The 20,128-nt window shown below is 44.4% G+C and overlaps 1 long non-coding RNA gene and 1 pseudogene across 1 annotated transcript in view; both read right to left on the bottom strand.

Annotated features, from left to right (window-relative positions):
• The window catches only part of FAM157A (family with sequence similarity 157 member A), a 69,308-nt gene that overhangs the window by 19,277 nt on the left and 29,903 nt on the right, over positions 1 to 20,128 (bottom strand). The window contains exons 7-11 of the long non-coding RNA NR_146164.1: positions 17,673 to 17,888; positions 16,723 to 16,788; positions 14,507 to 14,565; positions 12,871 to 13,400; positions 4,227 to 4,291 (exon numbers count right to left, since the gene is read on the bottom strand). This is a non-coding gene — a long non-coding RNA (family with sequence similarity 157 member A). The remainder of the gene's footprint in view (positions 1 to 4,226; positions 4,292 to 12,870; positions 13,401 to 14,506; positions 14,566 to 16,722; positions 16,789 to 17,672; positions 17,889 to 20,128) is intronic.
• On the bottom strand, positions 6,388 to 6,491 carry RNU6-860P (RNA, U6 small nuclear 860, pseudogene; annotated as a pseudogene).

Here is a 20,128-nt window from a genome sequence, read left to right as displayed (position 1 = left end):
TCTTGGCTCACTGCAATGTCTGCCTTTTGGGTTCAAGTGATTCTCTGCCTCCCAAGTAGCTGGGATTACAGGCACCCACCACCACACCTGGCTAATGTTTGTATTTTTAGTAGAGATGGGGTTTCACCATCTTGGCTAGGCTGGTCTTGAACTTCTGACCTCGTGATCCACCCTCCTCGGCCTCCCAAAGTGCTGGGATTACAGGCGTGAGCCACTGCGCCTGGCCTTTAAAAAAATATTTTTTTTAGACATGAGGTCTCATTATGTTGCCCAGGCTGGTCTTAAGCTCCTGGGCTTAAGCGATCCTCCCACCTCAGCCTCCTAAAGTTCTGGGATTACAGGCGTGAGCAACTGTAACATGAGGTCCCAGCTTCGTGTTCATTTTTTGTTGTTGCTACAACAAAGTACCCTACATTTAGTGGCATCAAACACCACAAATCTACCATCTTACAGTTCTGGGGGCCAGAAGCCCAACTAGGTCTATTAAGGCTAAAGTCAAGGTGTCAGAGAGGCTGCATTCCTTCTGGGGGAGGCTCTAGACAGAATGTGCTCCTTTGCCTTTTCCAGCTTCTAGAAGCCACCCCCATTCCTTGACTTACCTCGTGACTCCATATTCAAGGCCAGAAGTGCAGCATCTTCAAATCTCCCTCTCTGACCTCTTCTTCCATTACCACATCACTTTCTCTAATTCTGACTCTCCTACCTCATTCTCTTATAAAGATCCTTGTGATTGGTGGGTATGGGGGCTCCCATCTGTAATCCCAACATTTTGGGAGGCCAAAGAGGAAGGATTGCTTGAGGCCAAGAGTTAGAGATCAGCCTGGGGAAAATAGGAAGATCCTGCCTTTACAAAATTAAAATCAGCTGGACATGGTGATGCATGCCTGTAGTTCCAGCTACTGGAGAGGCTAAGGTGGGAGGATTGCTTTAGCCTAGGAGGTCAAGGCTGCAGTGAGCTATGATCACATCACTGCACTCCAGCCTCAGTGGCAGAGTGAGACTCTGTCTCCGATATAAGAAAAGAAATATACATTTGGTCTCTGCCCCTGGTTCCTGGCATAGAGCTTCCAAAGCTCTTATAAAGCCCTTCGTGACAGAGGTAATAGGAGCATTTTCTGTTTTGATATTTAGTCTTAGTCCCAGGTTCCTGACACAAGGGCCTCTAAGGTCTTTCAGATCTGCAGCATGGTAAGAATGCATGTGGGATGCTGTTGAGCTAACGGGGTGGCTGCAAGCTCCGAGACTGCTTCAGGAGGAGGGCTAGCTGCCAGAGAAAGCAACCACATTTTTTTTTTAAAACAGAGTTTGGCTCTTGTAGCCCAGGCTGGAGTGCAATGGCACAATCTCAGCTCGCTACAACCTCCACCTCCCGGGTTCAAGCAATTCTCCTGCCTCGGCCTCCCGAGTAGCTGGAATTATAGGGGTGTGCCACAATGCCTAGCTAACTGTTGTTATTTTTAGTAGAAACGGGGTTTCACCATGTTGGTCAGGCTGGTCTCAAACTCTTGACCTCAAGTGGTCCATGTGCCTCAGCCTTCCAAACTGCTAGGATTACAGGAGTGAGCCACCGCACCTGGCCCCAACCACATTTTTTGAGGCTTGGAACTTTCAGCCTCACCTGCTGAACTCCAGGAGGCAAAAGGAACTGGAGATTGACTTAACTACCAATGGCCAGTGATTTTATCAATCATGCCTCCATAAACACCCAAACAGCAGGGTTTGGAGAGCTTCTGTGTTGCTAAACACAAGGAGGTCCTGGGAGGGTAGTGTGCCCAACAGAGGGCATGGAAGCTCTGTGCCCCTCCCCACTTACCTTGTCCTGTGCATCTCTTTCATTGGCTGTTCCTGAGATGGAGCCATTACATTGAGCCAGTAATAGAAAATAAGGTGGCCAGATGCACTGGCTCATGCCCGTAATCCCAGCACTTTGGGAGGCAGAGGTGGGCGGAATCACTTGAGCCTAGGAATTTGAGACCAACCTGGGCAACATAAGAAGACCCCATCTATACAAAAAATAAAAGAAATTAGCCAAATGTGGTGGTGGGAACCCTGTAATTCCAGCTACTTGAGAGGCTGAAGCAGGAGAATCACTTGAGCCCTGGATGTTGAGGCTTCAATAAGCTATGATTGCACCACTGCACACCAGCTTGGACAACAGAGCGAGGCCCTGTCTCTTAAAAAGAAAAGAAAAAAAACTTGTTTTTCTAAGTTCTGTGAGTTGTTCTAGTAAATAATTAAACTCAACAAGAGGGTCATGGGAAACCCTGATTTCTAACTGGTTGGTCAAAATACAGGTGACAACCTAGGACTTGCAACTGGCATCTGAAGTGAGGGTGGTCTTGTGGGACTGAGCCCCTAACCTGTGGGTTCTGTGCTAACTCTAGGTAGTGTCAGAATGGAATTGTGGGATACGCGGTTGGCATCCAGAGAGTTGGAGAACTGGTGTAGAAACTCTGCACACACATTTGGTCAGAAGTCTGTGAGTAGAGAGAAACGTGTTGCAGGAAGTCAGGGACCCCAAACGGAGGGACTGGCTGAAGCCACAGCAGAAGAATATAAATTGTGAAGATTTCATGGACATTTATTAGTTCCCCAAATTAATACTTCTATAATTTCTTAGGCCTGTCATTACTGCAATCTCTGAACATAAATTGTGAAGATTTCATGGACACTTATCACTTCCCCAATCAATACCCTTGTGATTTTCTATGCCTGTCTTTAATCTCTTAATCCGCTCATCTTCGTAAGCTGAGGATGAATGTCCCCGCAGGACCCTGTGATAATTGCGTTAACTGCACAAGTTGTTTAAACAATATGAAACCTGGGCACCTTGAAAAAAGAACAGGATAACAGCAATTTCAGGGAACAAGGGAGATAACCTTAAACTCTGGCTGCCTGTGGGCCGGGTTGAACAGAGCCATATTTCTCTTCTTTCAAAAGCAAATAGGAGAAGTATTGCTGAATTCTTTTTCTCAGCAAAGAACATCCCTGAGAAAGAGAATGCATCCCTAAGGGGAGGCCTCTGAAATGGCCGCTTTGGGGACGGCTGTCTTTTACAGTCATAGATAAGGGATGAAATAAGCCCTGGGTTCGCGTGGCGCTCCCAGGCTTATCAGGACAAGGAAATTCCCGCCTAATAAATGTTGGTCAGATGGGTTGTCTGCTCTCAAACCCTTTCTCCTGATAAGATGTTATCAATGACAATGCGCGCCCGAAACTTCATTAGCAATTTTAATTTCGCCCCAGTCCTGTGGTCCTGTGATCTTGCCCTGCCTCCATTTGCCTTGTGATATTTTATTACCTTGTGAAGCATGTGATCTCTGTGACCCACACCCTATTCGTACACTCCCTCACCTTTTGAAAATCACTAATAAAAACTTGTTGGTTTTGCGGCTTGGGGGGCATCACGGAACCTGCCGACGTGTGATGTCTCCCCTGGACATCCAGCTTTAAAATTTCTCTCTTTTGTACTCTTTCCCTTTATTTCTCAGACTGGCTGACACTCAGGGAAAATAGAAAAGAACCTACATGAAATATCAGGGGTGAATTTCCCCCGATATCACACTGGCTCTTCTCTCACCTGTCTACCTGCTTAACTTAATAGGAGAGGCAATGCATGGTGCTCATGAACAAGGCAAGCATTAAAGTCAGACCAGACTAACATTTGACTCAGTCCTAATATTCAGGTGAGCTTGGGCAAATCGCTCATTAACCCCAAGTCTTCATCATTTTGTGCATATAATGGGGATAACTGTGGCACCCACCTGTTTTTGTGAGAATCAATGAAATATTATGCTTGATGTTATTGTGATCATGATACTATCTGACAAGGGCAGTGATGCATGATAACATCAAAAAATTAGAAACTGTAATGAGGTCTCTTGGGCAAAATTCCATACAGGCAAATTACTGTCTCTACAAAGCATTTCTGCCACACTTAATTCACCATACCCTGAACAAAATGTGCCATCTTCATTGTTCAGGTCTGTATAGTGCTGGTTTCCCTGCCTGGGCAGCTCACTCCATCCCATCCCAGCCCAATCCCCATCCCTCCACCTCCCCCTTCCCTCCCCACTCTCATACAACTCTTCCTTATCTTACAGGACTTGGCTTCAATGTCACCTTAACTGGAAGCTTCTCTCCCTCTCCAGAAGAGCTTCCGATTGCACTTGATGCATGCACTATTATTTGATCATTTTTGAGTTACAGTCCAAGTCTTTTTGTACCTGAATAACATGTTGCCCAGTCAGTTTCTCTTCCTGGATTCAGAAGTCTTTCATGGTAGGTCCAGCTAGAAGTGACAAAAAGACATTTAAAAAAAAAAAAAAAGAGGGATGACACAGACAGACATCAGCACTTAAAAGTTTTAAACGATATGTGAAAAACAAAATTTAAGGGCTTCTAGGAGAAATGTAGGAGGGAAGGTGTTACTGGGAAATATGATAGAAGGTTAATTTTTATTTTATTTTATTTTTAGAGAAAGGGTCTTGCTCTATCACCTAGGCTGGACTGCAGTGGTGCAATCACAGTTAACTGCAGCCTCAACCTCCAGGGCTTGAGCAATATTCCCATCTAATTTTTATTTTGTTTAAGAAATGCAGTCTTGCTCTTAGCAAAGCTAAAGTGCAATGGTGTGATCATAGCTTACTGCAGCCTCAACCTTCTAGACTCAAGTGATCCTCCAGTCTTAGCCTCCCCAGTAGCTCGGACTACAGGTGTGCACTGCAACGTGTAGCTCATTTTTTTTTTTTAATTTTTAGTAGAGACAAAGTGTCACTATGTTGACCAGGTTGGTGGTGATCTCCTACACTCAGGCAGTTCTCTCACCTCAGCCTTCCAAAATGCTGGGATTACAGGTGTCAGCTGCCACACCTGGCTGAGGGGGTTAATTTTTAATTATATAAAGAGCTCAAAGCAAATATTAGAAGGAGCCTAAATGCCTCCAGCAGTTGACTGGTACTGGTAAATTGTGATACATCCATATAATAAAATATTATGCAACCATGAAAAGGATTAAGATAGATCAATAGGTATTGGCACAAATGTCCACGAAATATGAAAATATGAAGTGATGTTCAATCACCATGTACGTATCTTGAAGGATATGGCCCATTTTCTCAACTGCAATTATTTCCTGAGATAAGATTATGGGTCTAAAGAGTGAAGGACATTTTTCACTTATTTAAAAGTATTTATCATTTTTATAATTTAATAAAAGATTAAACAGATCATTGAATTAGTAAAAGACAAAGTAACTCTATAAATAAATGGAAAAGACACAGATACCCCAGGCATGGTGGCTCATGCTTATAATACCAGTACTTTGGGAGGGGGTGGTGGGGGGATTGCTTGAGGCCAGGAGTTCCAGACCAGCCTAAGAAACAAAGCAAGACCTCCTCTCTAGTAAAAATAAAAAAATAAAAATAATTGGCCAGGCATAGTGGCATGTGCCTATAGTCCCAACTACTGAGGTGGAAGGATCACCTGAGCCTAGGAGGTCAAGGCTGCAGTGAGTTGAGACTGTGCCACTACACTGAAGCCTAGGAGACAGAGCGAGACTTCATCTCAAAAAAAAAAAAAAAGGACAATAAAGAAATAAAGCTAATAAGCTAACATAAGGAAAGATAAAATATGTGACAAATAGGCTGGGCACATGGCTCACAGCTGTAATCAAGCACTTTGGGAGGCCAAGGCGGGTAGATCACGAGATCAGGAGTTCGAGACCAGCCTGATCAACATGGTGAAACCACGTTTCTACTAAAAATACAAAAATTAACCAGGCATGGTGGCATATGCCTGTAATCCCAGCTACTCAGGAGGCTGAGGCAGGAGAATCGCTTGAACCTGGGAGGCACAGGTTGCAGTGAGCCGAGATCACACCACTGCACTCCAGCCTGGTCGACAGAGCGAGACTGTGTCTCAAAAAAGAAAAAAGAATGGGTGACAAAGTAATAATAGGAGGTCTTTCATTTATCACACAGAAAATAACTTGTTAAATTATAATACCTGTGTGGGCGAAGGTGCAGTGAAATGGCCATTTTCTTGTAGTATTAGTGGTGTTTAAAATGTATATAAGCCTTCCAGCATAAAGCTTGGAAATTTTTTTTAAATCATACAGACAGTGACTCATTATACTGCCTCCTCCAACTCCTGGCCTCAAGCAATCCTCCCACCTCAGCCTCCCAAAGTGCTGGAATTACAGGCTGACAGCCACCATGCCTGAAAGCTTTGCAATTTACATCGAGGGTAATAAGAATGCTCATGCCCTGTGACTCACAGTAATCTCACTTCTGGAAATTTCACCTTTGGATATAATTCAACCTAAACAAAAGGTCATATGCACAAACACAGTGAAAATCTGGGAGTAATTTTTTTCTCTTTTTTTAAAAAAATATGGAATGCTTCACAAATTTGCATGTCATTCTTTCACAGAGGCCGTGCCAATCTCTCTATTGTTCCAACTTAAGTATGTGTGCTACTGAGGCAAGCATGAGTAATTTAAGATAGAGTGGTTAAGTGAAATAAGGAAGAATTATGGAGAATTTAAAAATCTATGCTATTTATAGGCACCTAGTAACAGCTCAGTAAATATTAGCTGCTACTATTATTATTTTTATGGTAATTTCACTCAATTAAAAACTGTCGTTAAAAATTACCATTGTCATGGAACATAATGTCTCCTACTGTATAATTGTAGAAACAGATACAATTTGTCCCTTGGTATATGGGGGGATTAGTTCCAGCTCTCCCATTTCTGTGTATACCAAAATCCACGCATACTCAAGTTTTCGAAGTCAGTCCTGTGGAATCCACATATAACACAAATGGGAAAATTAGTGAGGTGTGGTGACAAGCACCTGTAGTCCCAGCTACTTGTGAGGCTGAGGCAGGAGGATTGCTTGAGCCCAGGAGGTTGAGGCTGCAGTGAGCCATAATTGCACCACTGCACTCCAGTCTGGGCAACAGAGTGAGACAGAAGGTTGACTTTTTAATAGAATTTTTCTGTTCACTTGAAGATATGGTCAGGATTGTGGCATATGAAAATTCTTCATAAAATAACTATCTAATCCAATTAATGCTGGAATTGGGAACAGCAGAAGTGTCATCTCAGAGCTACTCACAATGAAAGGTGATGTCTGGGGCTCAGGTGTGTTGAGGTCCCCATGCCTGGACTATGGGTGCTGAGTGGGATTTACTTGTCCATCCATTTTCTATATTCCAGCACTGGGAAACTAGGGACAGTACTTGTTCTCAAGGGAATCTTCAGCTTAGGTGGCTCTGTAAAAGAGAAATTACATCATTGAAAAATCGTCGCAGGTCAGGTGAGGTGGCTCATACCTATAATCCCAGCCCACTGGGAGACTAAGGCAGGAGGATTCCGTGAGGCCAGGAGTTCAAGACCAGCCTGAGCAACACAGTGAAACCTCATCTCTACAAAAAATTAGAAAATGAACTGGGTGCGGTAAAACATTCGTATAGTCCCAGCTACTCTGGAGGCTGAAATAGGAGGATCGCTTGAGCCCAGGAAGTGGAAGCTGCAGTGAGCTCTGATCTCACCACTGCACTCTAGCCTTGGTGACAGAGTGAGACCCTGTCTCAAGACACACACAAACACACACACACACACACACACCCAATCTCACTCTGTCCAGCCTTGACTAATCAAAAGGGCCTTCTGGTTACAGAAGAGGTATGCTCTTTTGTAGGACAGGGAGAGACCAGCAAGCTTGTTCACAGACTTTTCCTCATCCTCTGCTTAGTTTTCCAAGAACCCTCACAGTGGAAATGGAGTCTCTGGGAAAATGACCTAAATCTTTGGGTTACCAGGGGAGAAATATGCCTCCTTTGTCAATTAATAAATGGAACATCTGCCTTAAAATCCAGGGAGTTCTGCTAGAATGAATCACTCCCTAAGACCCTGACCAATGCATGGAACATGAAAAACTGAAGTTTAACTGGGCGCGGTGGATCACGCCTGTAATCCCAGCACTTTGGGAGGCTGAGGCGGGCGGATCACCTGAGGTCAAAAGTTCTAGATCAGCCTGGCCAACATGGTGAAACCCCGTCTCTACTAAAAATACAAAAATTAGTTGGGCATGGTGGTGGACACCTGTAATCCCAGCTACTTGGGAGGCTGAGGCAGGAAAATCGCTTGAACCCGGAAGGCGGAGGTTGCAGTTACTTCTAGAAGAATTTCCATTAGCCCTTTGAAATCCTTCAACATTCATGAAGGCCAAAGAGTTTTCACCTAATTTAATCTGATGGGTATGTGACCAGAGTCTTTCTAGGGAATAGAGACTCCCAAACAGTTCGACTGGGAAGTGAGGAGAGAATTTATTACTCAAAACCAAAGGGAAATGAAAAGAGGCCAACATAGAATGTCATTATTCTTTCTTGGCGGGGAATGGATTCCAGAGTCATTCTGTGACCTTTACATGACCTCCTTATTAGCATCTAAAAGCTTCCAGTGTAGGATGCAGCCAGCTAGGTTCTCTTCTAATGTAATAAAATTTGCTTCGGCAAATCTTATGCAGAGCCATCTCCAGGCTCCAGAAACAATAGGCTATAAATTACTGGATCTCCCATTTGATACAATGAAGTATGAGCATGGTCCTGAATGACTCCTCTACATACTACTCTGGGTGGCTTGAAGTGAATTTGATACAAGAACTGGAGCGAGGGCAAAGCAGAGCTAGATCTAGGATTAATGTGCTTGGGCCCAGCTCCTCACTACTCACCTATGAGTCTAGTTCCAGAACCCAAGTAGAGGATGGGGAAACAAGGCTCCTGACTTTTTTTCCCTAATGTCTGCATCTCTTTCACATTTCTTATCTCCTTGCAAAGAAACTAAACAGGCTCAACTGAAATAACTAAATGATTAAACCCTATACAGAGACTCTCCAAAGACTGACAAAATATCATTCAAGACTGTTACACAGACAACCTTGAGGATGACTTGATGTACCAGTGATCTACAATATTTGGGATCATTCCAAATTCCCATCAAGGATCTGCCTATATCAACAAAGGAGCCAAGGACCAACCATTCAAATGGGCCATGCTGCCAAGCCTTTTTTTTTTTTTTTTTAACAATGCCATCTCTTCATATTGTTCCATTTAACAAAACTGCAGCCCTTCATCTATCCTTAAGTCCCTTGGCCAATGGTACAGGGCCAGAGTATGCTACTCCCTAGCAGGAAATCAACAGGATGACCTACTAAACACCATTCAGAAGATGCTAAGACCCATGAATTGCAACAGGAAAGAAAAGACAGAGAATTAGTCAGACAGGTACATGCTGTGCCAAAAATGCACTACAGCCCCCACCCAATTCTGCCTAATCCTAGCTGGGCTGACACCAACCTGATGAGACAGGCCTATAAGATCTCAAACTAAAACAGAAACTCCTGAACTGGGTTCTTTCGAGCCCAGGAAGCAGCAGTAAATCATTAAAGAACAGATAAGTTCTTAAGGTGAGGGAGAGTTTCAGATAAATGGAATGCTGGTAGAACACAGGGCCCAAAGGAGCAAAAGTTAACCTAAGCCCAGGTAGAACCTTGTTTACTAGAGTATTAGGCATGGGTTTGGGCAACTATTCTAACCAGAGAAACTGGCTTCAGTGAGGGCAAGTTGGCAATCCAAGGTATAGCATGCATAGGGCTGGCAAAATTCAGGGTGACTGAAGCAAAAGCTTCATAACCAGAAAGACCACATCTGGGGGTAGAGCACAAAACTCTCAAGAGATGAATCTTTGTAAGAGTGAGGCAGAACTATATAGCAGTTTTAGGAGATCTGTTGGTGCCCAGCAAGAGCTCCAAACGGGCTATATGCAGGGATGCAGGCTGTAGTCTCAGGAGAGGAGGTTCACAAAAGTCATTCAGTCCAAGACCTCAAACTGTGTTCTCTACTAAAAGGAATCAAGGTTCCCTAGAGAAATGGCTGACTCCATGTATGGTGCAGTATATTGATCCTGGAACATCTGTTTTGCCAGAAAGCAAGGAAGCCATCAAAGTCCAACAGGATCACGTCAAAAAGACATGAAAGTCAACTTGAAGAGATAATTATTAACCTAGATGAGACAATGTAAGCATCCAAAACAATAAAGACTGCAATGGCCTGAAATACATCAAATGCAAACAATAATCTATGAGTTCATAATGGTATTCAGAAAAAAAAACTACTGGTCATTAGAGGGAAGGTTACTAGGTCACTAACTTACTACTCTGAAAAGTGACTTAAGATGAGAGGTAGGGTGGAGAATTAGCTATTTATTCAGTCTTTCCTGTACAAACATAAATTTTTAGGGAGATTGAAGCAGATGAAACAAATCTGGAAAAATGGAGGTAACTGCTTAATCTGCGGGTTGGGTGCATGGAGGTTCAACATATTTCTTTTGTGTATATTTGAACCCCCTACAAAAAAAGCACAAGACAGAATGTGAGCCAAGCAGCTTAGGGTTTAGGCAAGGCTTCTGCCTACAAGAGACACTAGGATATGAGGGGTAGTTTTAGCCCTAATGGGCTGAGCCAACTGGAGGTATATAGGGAAGTGCTAAATTGCAGAGGTATCATGTTGCCCAGCACTTGATCAAATCCTAGATCCTAGGTCTGCTTGGTGGCATGCTTCCTAGGTAGTGGATCTGAGGCTACCTATAGAACTTCCTTTGCAGTCATAGTTCGCTCAGAAACTACAAAAGTGCTTGCTCTTGAAAATGGAGTCTTTGTCCATTTCATGCTTCTATAAAAGAATACCACAGACTGCATAATTTATAAAAAGGAAAAAAGGAAGGAAAGAAAAAAGGAAGGGAGGAGGGAAGGAGGGAAAAAGGGAAGGAGGGAAGGAAAGGAAGGAAGGGAAAGAAGGAAAGGAAGGAAGGGAAAGAGAGAAAGAGGGAAGGAGGAAGGGAGGGAAGGAGGGAGGGAGGGAGAGAGAGAGGGAGGGAGGGGAAGGGAAGAAAAGGGAAGAGAAGGGAAAGGAGGAAGAAAAGGAAAGGAAAGGAATAAATTTTATTTCTTAACAGTTCTGGATGTTAGGAAGTCCAAGGTTGAGGGGCCTGCATCTGGTAAGGGTCTTCTTGCTGCATCATCCCACTACAGAAGGCAGAAGGAAAAGAGAGTGCAAGAAAGCAAGAGGGCAAAAGGGGCTGAACTCTGTTTTATAATAAGCCCACTCTGTGATTACTAATCTATTACCACAATAACAACATTAACTCATTCATGAAGGCTATTTTATTAGGCCCCACATCCCAACTGTTGCATTGAGGATTGAGTTTCCAGCACATAAACTTTGGGGGACACATTTAAACCATAGCAGAGCACTTAGGTTAATTCAACTAAGAGGAGCTGGGAAAATCAAAGGCATGAGAAAGACAGCAAAAGCTAGCAGAGAGAAATGCATAGGTTAAGGAAAAAAGTCACAGTGAATCCTGTAGTGCAGGCTACTTTATCAAAAGCACCTAAAAAAGATCTCATTAACTCCCCCAGCTCACCTCCACGCACATCTAAAGAGCCACACACAGCACCACCAAAGGCAGCACAATGAGAACAGCATTCTCCTCAACAGACAAGCTGGGAGTATCTAGACACCTGACCTCAATAGCTCCAGAACAGCCCTAAAACATTTCCTCCCTAACCACCACTCAAGTCACCAGCTTGGAAAGTATTAAGAAAACCCAAATCCTGACACACCACTATGAAACAACTTAAAACAGCAAAGAACAACCCATTTAAACAGCAATGCCAGCTGTTGGGAAAAAAAGGAACAATGAGTAGAGGAGAAACAGACCTCTCGGGGTCCACCAAGACCCAGTCTCTCAGCTTCAGCACTTTTAAATGCAGAATCCATACCCCTCTGGGGCCTGTGGAGCTCCACAAGGCATGTCGTCCTCAAAGATAAATGAGCAGGCAAGCTGGCTAGAAAACCACTAAGGGTATTTATTCTTTAAAGAATCTTTATAGGGTCAAAGAAGAATGGGTCCTAACTGGCTATGTGAACTCCCCACAGATTCTGAGGATGATGTCAGTATCCCTTTCCAGATGTGTTTAACACTTTGCAGTCACTTGTATTCCTGCCACTGAGTGCCAGTGCTTTGCTAATTTGAACTGATTCCAGCTCACGCTGACCCCAGCTCCCTGGATGTTACCATTAGCCAAGACTGACACCCATACTGTACCCTTTCAAAGAGTCCTAAAAACAGCTCTTCACCTACTCTTCCAAGACAAGTAAAAATGACTGCCAAAGAAATGGGGAAAAAAGATTCAGAGAGTGAAAACAATTAATATACTAACAAGAGAGCAAAAAGCAAAGGGGGAGGAGAAACTAGGAAAATCATATATGGGCTCTCACCTATTTCCAAAGCTGGGCTAATGTCCTTTTGCTTGTGTCTGAATAAGGCACCAATTTTAAGCTGCTAATGAAAAAAAAAGAAAAAGAGAAAGAAGCAGGCCCAGGCTGGGCGCAGTGGCTCATGCCTGTAATCCCAGCACTTTGGGAGGCCGAGGCGGGTGGATCACCCAAGGTCAGGAGTTCTAGACCAGCCTGGTCAACATGGTGAAACACCATCTCTACTAAAAATACAAAAAATTAGCCAAGCATGGTGGCGCATGCCTGTAAATCCAGCTACTAAGGAAGCTGAGGCAGGAGAATTGCTTGAACCTGGAAGGCAGAGAATGTGGTGACCTGAGATCACGTCATTGCCCTCAAGCCACGGCAATGAGAACAAAATTCGGTAAAAACAAAACAAAACAAAACAAAACAAAACCACCATAAAATAACTCAGACTTAATTAAATACAACCCTAGTGGTGAATGACTAAAGATGGATTACTCATAACAGAGATTGAACAGTCCAATAAGAATCCAGGAATCTTACCTTTTAATAACAAAAAAATCCTTTCCTTCTAAAGTAACATCCTCTCAAGGCCAGGAATTCCATTAGTAGAAAGCCTTCCTAAAAAACAAAATTCCTGGCCAGGCATGGGTTCACGTCTGTAATCTCAGCACTCTGGGAGGCCGAGGCGGGAAGATCACTTGATATCAGGAGTCGAGGCGGGAAGATCACTTGACGTCAGGAGTTCGAGACTGGCCCAGCCAACATGGTGAAACCGCATCTCCACTAAAAATACAAAAATTAGCCTGGTGTGGTGGTGGGCACCTGTAATCCCAGTGACTTGGGAGGCTAAGGCAGGAGAATTTCTTGAACCCAGGAGGCAGAGGTTGCAGTGACCAGCAAGGTTGCGCCATTGCACCCCAGCCTGGGCGATAAGAGTGAAAACTCCATCTCAAAAAAAAAAAAAAAAAAAAAAATTCCTTTGGGAAGGCCTTCTACATAAAAATCTTCAACATGAGACTGGAAAAAAGGGTATGGGATCATCACCGGACCTTTGGCTTTTACAGCTCGAGCTATAAGAACAAAAAGAAAAAGGGATATCATTTAAACACGGTATGTAGAAAAGAATAATTATTGAATCTGTACTGGTCTTTAACTTTTACACTTTGATCTTTAATTCTGTTATTGTGATTGAGTCCAAAGAAAAACAGTATGAGTAAAATAAAAAGAACACCAAAAATGCTAATATTCTGTTTACCGAAGTCTGTAGTGAAATATCCCATTAAATCCAAGTGCAGTGACACACCCATAATCCCAAGCACTTTGGGAGGCTGAGGCGGGTGAATCTCCTGAAGTCAGGAGTTCAAGGCCAGCCTGGCCAACATGGTGAAACCCCAACTCTACTACAAATACAAAAATTAGGCAGGCGTGGTGGCAGAGGCCTGTAATCCCAGCTACTTAGGAGGCTGAGGCAGGGAGAATTGCTTGAACCCAGGAGGTGAGCTTGCCATGAGCTGAGATCATACCACTGCACTCCAGCGTGGGTGACAGAACAAAACTTCAACCTCCAAAAAAAAAAAAAAAAAAAAAAAAAAAAAACAGCTAGCAGGTGACATTTGCTATAGGGAGTAGGGAGACTAGGGATATGATCTTGCTGCAATCTTTCCATTTTAGTAAATCTAAACAAGTGTGAATCCATTCTGTTTCGTCCCCACTCCACTCCAGAGCCAAAACAAGAAAATCAATTATATTTCTAGTTCTTTAAAAACATATCTAACTAAATCATCTAATTAAAAGATAATATGCATGGTTCCATACTCTAAAAGAAAACTTATGTCCTGCATATCATGGACATTTGATGAATGCTTATTCAGTTGACTGGTGTAGACTTCAATAATAACCTGTTCAATGCATTATACCAGATGAATCTTGCATCTCAAAAGTAGAACAAATATTGTTCTTTCAGTTTTGTCTACCCATAAATGCAATATTTACTAATAAAAAGAAAATGAGTTTATTGTTCTAGAGAGTATGAGAATTTTGACAACATGAATTCTCCTGTCCTAGGACATAATTAATACTTAGAGGCATACTATTTCATGTGGAAGCTACCATTAAATCAATGTTAAGTGTTAATTACCTCACATAATCTTCTAATCTGACTTGACTGAAGACGTACCTGACAAAGTTGATTTATCAAGTTGTAAATCTTCACCTGTTGAATTCATAAGTTCATGTCTGAAAGGTGAGAATAAATACTTAATATTCATTAGGCAATATTCAGCAAAGTAATATCCACTAGTACATATTTAATATTTCATCATGAACTGCGGGTGTGAAGAGAAAAGACAGGCTGGGCACAGTGGCTCACACCTGTAATCCCAGCAGTTTGGGAGGCCGAGGCAGGCAGATCATGAGGTCAGGAGTTCGAGACCAGCCTGGCCAACATGGTAAAACCCCGTCTGTACTAAAAGTACAATAATTAGCTGGGCATGGTGGCAGGCACCTGTAATCCCAGCTACTCGGGAGGCTGAGGCAGGAGAATTGCCTGAACCCAGGAGGTGGAGGTTGCAGAAACCATTATCACGCCACTGCATTCCAGCCTGGGCAAGAGAGCAAGATTCTGTCTCCATCAATCAATCAATAAAAATATAAGGAGGAAGCATTTACTGTGTATTTATATGTCTGGTATTATGTGAAGCACTTTACTATCTTATCAAATCTTCGGGACAGATCTTCAGTTCTCATGACCACAAAAGAGGATACTAAAGCTCAGACAGGAGAAGAGACGTGGCCAGCCTGTGTCCCCAGGGCCTATGGTCTTACCACTAGGTTACAGTGTTTCCAGATATCACATGTTGTGAGATTTTTGCTTTAAAATGAACCAAAAAAAAACCAAAGGTGAAAAAGGCATAAGCTATTAAAAAGTGGGAGAAACACTAAGAGAACCTTAAGCATGTAACTAAAAATATTATGGAAATGTTATTGAATTCATTAGCAAATTTAGTGCTAGGTTTTCATTGAGGAGTAGGTTATATTACTCATGATGAAGAAAAATGTTCATTTTAAGTATATTAACATAAATACCATCAATATTGTTTATCATGCTTAAATGTTCACTTAAAGCAATTCAGTTAAAATTCTGCATATCATACAATTTTATAGTTTGCTAGTAGGTTACAAGTAAATAGTCACCCAAATAAAAACATCATGTTTTCCACTGGTTGTTGCTCTTTTTTAGGTGAGTATTTGATGTATACCAACAGAGAGAGGATAATAACAAATCGCTAATTTCTTTCATCACTATATAAAGGTGGCTTCAGGATAGAATAGTATCAGGGCAATGATGAATTTGAAATCTAACATCAATTCAGTGATGCATCAAGATAAAAGTAGAGACAACAGGGGCACCTTGGTGAGTACTGAACATTTTATTTATTTATTTATTTTGAGATGGAGTTTTGCTCTTTTTGCCCAGGCTACAGTGCAATGGTGCCAACCTCGCCTCACTGCAACCTCTGCCTCCTGGGTTCAAGCGATTCTCCTGCCTTGGCCTCCCGAATAGCTGGGATTACAGACATGCGCCACCACACCCGTCTAATTTTGTATTTTTAGTAGAGACGGGGTTTCTCCATGTTGGTCAGGCTGGTCTCGAACTCCCGACCTAGATATCTGCCTGCCTTGGCCTCCCAAAGTGCTGGGATTACAGGTGTGAGCCACCGCGCCCAGATGAATTCCAAATTTAACAAAGCAGACTAAGAGAAACAATTCATTTAAAAAAATAATATTTGGCCAGGCATGGTGGCTCACACCTATAATCCCAGCACTTTGGGAGGCTGAGGTGAGTGGATCAGGAGGTCAGCAGTTCAAGACCAGCCTAGCCAAGATCATGAAACCCCGTCTCTACTAAAAATACAAAAATCAGCCAGGCGTGGTGGCTGGTGCCTGTAATCCTAGCTGCTCGGGAGGCTGAGGCAGAGAACTGCTTGAACCCGGGAGGCGGAGGTTGCAGTGAGCCGAGATCGTGCCACTGCACTCCAGCCTGGGTGACAGAGTGAGGCTCCGTCTCAAAAAAAATAAATAAATAATTCAATGAAATTCCTAAGATCCAGGGCTTTGCAATAAATATGTAAATAAATTTCCAATCTCCATACTGAAAGTTTAAAAGAAATGCTAACTAATAACTAAAGAAATACAACTTTTCCTCAGCTTTGCAGCAATCTAGAAACAAAGTGTGTAGACACTACAAAGCACCTTACAAGGAGAAACATGTAAGGATGGCATGACTCGCCGGCAGCCCTGGGCTTGTCCACGGTACCCCCATGATGAACAGTAACTCCACTGTGTAAACGCCCATGAACATAAGATTACAAGACTTTTCCAGTTTAGACATACCATATTTTCTTTCAGACAATTCTTCAGTTTGTTTACGTAGATCAGCGATACGATGATTCCATTTCTCTGAAAACCAAGCAAAAGTTGCTTCTCAATAACACGTCCCTATGTCAGAGCAGCACTAACGTATAATGACTGATTTCATATATTTTACATTCTAACAGTCCATATCATTTTACTGCTTTCAAGAAAAAATTTCCCCTTCTTGGTGGTTCTTAGAATTGGTTTAATGGGAGACTATTAGAGAAGCTGAAAAGCAGGAGGGCAGAAAAGTTCAATCAAATTAAACACAATAACAGGGAGGTCACAATGAGGCGGTCTCCAGGGGTCTTTTAGCAAACTTCCTAAAACATGTCTCAGCTGTGTGAAATAAGACTTTACAGCAGCCGGGTGCAGTGGTGCAGGCCTGTAATCCCAGCACTTTGGCAGCAGAGGCAGGCGGATCACTTTGAGCTCAGGGCAACATAGCCAAAACCCCCCTCCCTAGCCCCACCCCCACCCCGTCCCTACCAAAAATACAAAACAGCAGGGCATGGTGGCGGGCGCCTGTAGTCCCAGCTACTCAGGAGGCTGAGGCAGGAGAATCACCTGAACCCAGGAGGCAGACATTGCAGTGAGCCAAGATCACGCCACTGCCAGCCTGGATGACAGAGCAAGACTCCACCTCAAAAAAAAACAAAAACAAAAACACAAGGTTAAGAGGGACCCCCGACCTTACAGATACAAGTTTAAGAGGGACCCCCAAGCAAAAAATGCCAACCCTTTTTCTCCCAATCATTGAAACACCAGGAGGGTGTAACAGTTTTGCAGCCTAGCTGTAGCAGGCTGATGCCCCCAAGATGCCCATATCCTAATCCCGGGAACTGGTGAACATGACCTTATATGGCAAAAGGAGCTTTGCAGATATAATGAAGTTAAGGGTCTTTGGCTTTTGGGGTTGATGTACTCACTCGGATCCTTGTAAGAGCAGAGCAGGTGATGGAGAGGGTGGGAGGTGTAGTGACAGAAGCAGGAAACTCCAGTCATTCGAGACGGGCAGCACAAGCTGAGGAGTGCAGGCCACCTCTACGGCCAGGAAACGGATTCTCCCGCAGAGCCTCGGAAGCTACCGACCCTGCTCCCACCTTGACTCAGTAGGACTTACTGTAGAATTCTGGCCTTCAGACCTGTAAGGGAATACATTTTGGTTGTTTTAAGTCACTAAGTGTGTGGTAATTTGTTGCAGCAGCCACAGGAAACTAGTATTGTAGTGAAGCCTCAAAACCCCCCTGAAGGGGCTGGGCTCAGTGGCTCATGCCTGTAATCCCAGCACTTTGGGAGGCCGACATGGGTGGATCACTTGAGGTCAGGAGTTCGAGACCAGCCCAGCCAACATGGTGAAATGCCATCTATACAAAAAATACAAAAACTAGCCGGGCATGGTGGCACATGCCTGTAATCTCAGCTACTCAGGAGGCTGAGACAGGAGAATTGTTTGAACCCAGGGGGGCAGAGGTTGCAGTGAACTGAGATTCCACCACTGCACTCCAGCCTGGGTGACAGAGCGACGCTCCATCTCGAAAACAAAACAAAACAAAAAAACCCCACCTGAAGGTTTCCAGTTCTGCCAGCACTCTCCCACCCAACCCCCAGAAACAGACATTCCATTGCTGTGGGCCATGGACAGGCAGAAGGAAGCACCTCCTCATGGCAGAGGCCTACCCAGGAGAAACCCAAGGGAAGGCACTACTGGGCTGGCCCCTCTCTGCCAAGGCCATATTCTTTTTTTTTTTGAGGCCAGTTTCACTCTGTCTCCCAGACTGGAGTGCAGGGGCACAATCTCGGCTCACTTCGACCTCTGCCTCCCCAGTTCAAGTGATTCTCCTGCCTCAGTCTCCTGAGTAGCTGGGATGACAGGAGTGTAGCATGCCTAGCTAATTTTTGTATTTCTAGTAGAGATGCGGTTTTGCCATGTTGCCCAGGCTGGACTCGAACTCCTTGCCTCAAGTAGTCCACCTGTCTCAGCCCCGCAAAGTGCTGGTATTACAGGAGTGAGCCACTGCACCCAGCATTTGCCAAGACCTTTGATGGCAGGCTTTTTCCAGGTGATCAGTCCTTGTCTGGTCTGGCTCTGCCCCACTCTCCTTCTCACCTAGTTGGAATCCCTAGCTACTTTTCAGTAGAGGAGAGTGTGTACCCCAATCCCAGCTTGGTTCAGATCTGCATTTAACTCATGGAACCTGGCTGCTCCCCAGGTTCTGAAGAAAAAAACGGTCTCTCTGTGGGTATGATAAAGGATGGGCCTGTCCCCAGGACCCTGTGAGAGGGAAGCCCAATGTCCCACCAGGTTGGCAGGGCTGGGGAAGGGAAAGTGTTATGGCAGCCCCAAGAAAAAAAAGAGGCAGCAGAGGGAGCAGGACAGCGCTCACATGGAACTCATGCCACTGCCTGAGGGGAGGGAGGAGTGCACGCCAGTGACGTCAGGGGGCAGAGAGGCGCAGTTCCAGGGCGGCTTTCCCCCTCACTTCCTGCCATGTTACTCTGATCGCCTCCAGGTGAGCCTGCCCACTTTGTGCCCAGGGGCCTGTAGAAAACCACAGCTCCCCATGGTTATGGCCCCAGGAGTGGGGCAGAGCAGGGAGGAGTCCTGCACAGAGGAGAGGCAGGGGCAGGAGGGAGTGGGCCTCAAACTCCAGGAGGGGGCCCTTCTCATGGGTCCTGCTTTCTGGCTTCTCCTTCCTTACCCCTGGGCTGATCACTTGGGGAAGAACTGAGACAAAGTTTCTCACCCTCAGGCCCAAAGGGTTTAATTACTGGGCCCTTAGGGAGGTGTGAGCCCCCTGAAAGGATGCAAGGTTTTGTTTTGTTTTGTTTTTTGAGACAGAGTTTCGCTCCTGTCGCCCAGGCTGGAGTGCAGTGGTGTGATCTCACCACACTACAACCTGCGCCTCCCAGGTTCAAGTGATTCTCCTGCCTCAGCCTCTGGAGTAGCTGGGATTACAGGTGGCTGCCACCACGCCTGGCTAATTTTTTGTATTTTTAGTAGAGACAGGGTTTCGCCATGTTGGGCAGGCTGGTCTTGAACTCCTGACCTCAGGTGATCCGACTGGCTCCGCCTCCCAAAGTTCTGGGATCACATCAGCCACTGTGCTTGGCCACGATGAAAGGTTTTGTGTGGAGAGCATGTACATGCCTTTCTGGGAAAACAGTCCACAGCTCTTATTCTCAGCAGGCTTCACGGTGAAAAAAGGTTAGAACTCTTGCTACAGAGCTGTGGAAGCAGCCAGGTGAGGGGCCTGCCAAGGGCACTCTGGGCACTACCTGGGCACTCTCGAGCCCATCATCCCCTAGGCAGGCTGCACTGCTTGGTATTTGCAGAGCTGAGGGGGTGGGGCATGTGGGGACTGTGAAATCGCCCTGAGATGAC

This window comes from Homo sapiens, chromosome 3, assembly GCF_000001405.40.
Source record: "Homo sapiens chromosome 3, GRCh38.p14 Primary Assembly".
Classification (NCBI taxonomy): Eukaryota; Metazoa; Chordata; class Mammalia; order Primates; family Hominidae; genus Homo; species Homo sapiens.
The sequence above is the reverse complement of the archived record's forward strand: the minus strand, read 5'-3'. Positions and strand labels throughout refer to the sequence as shown.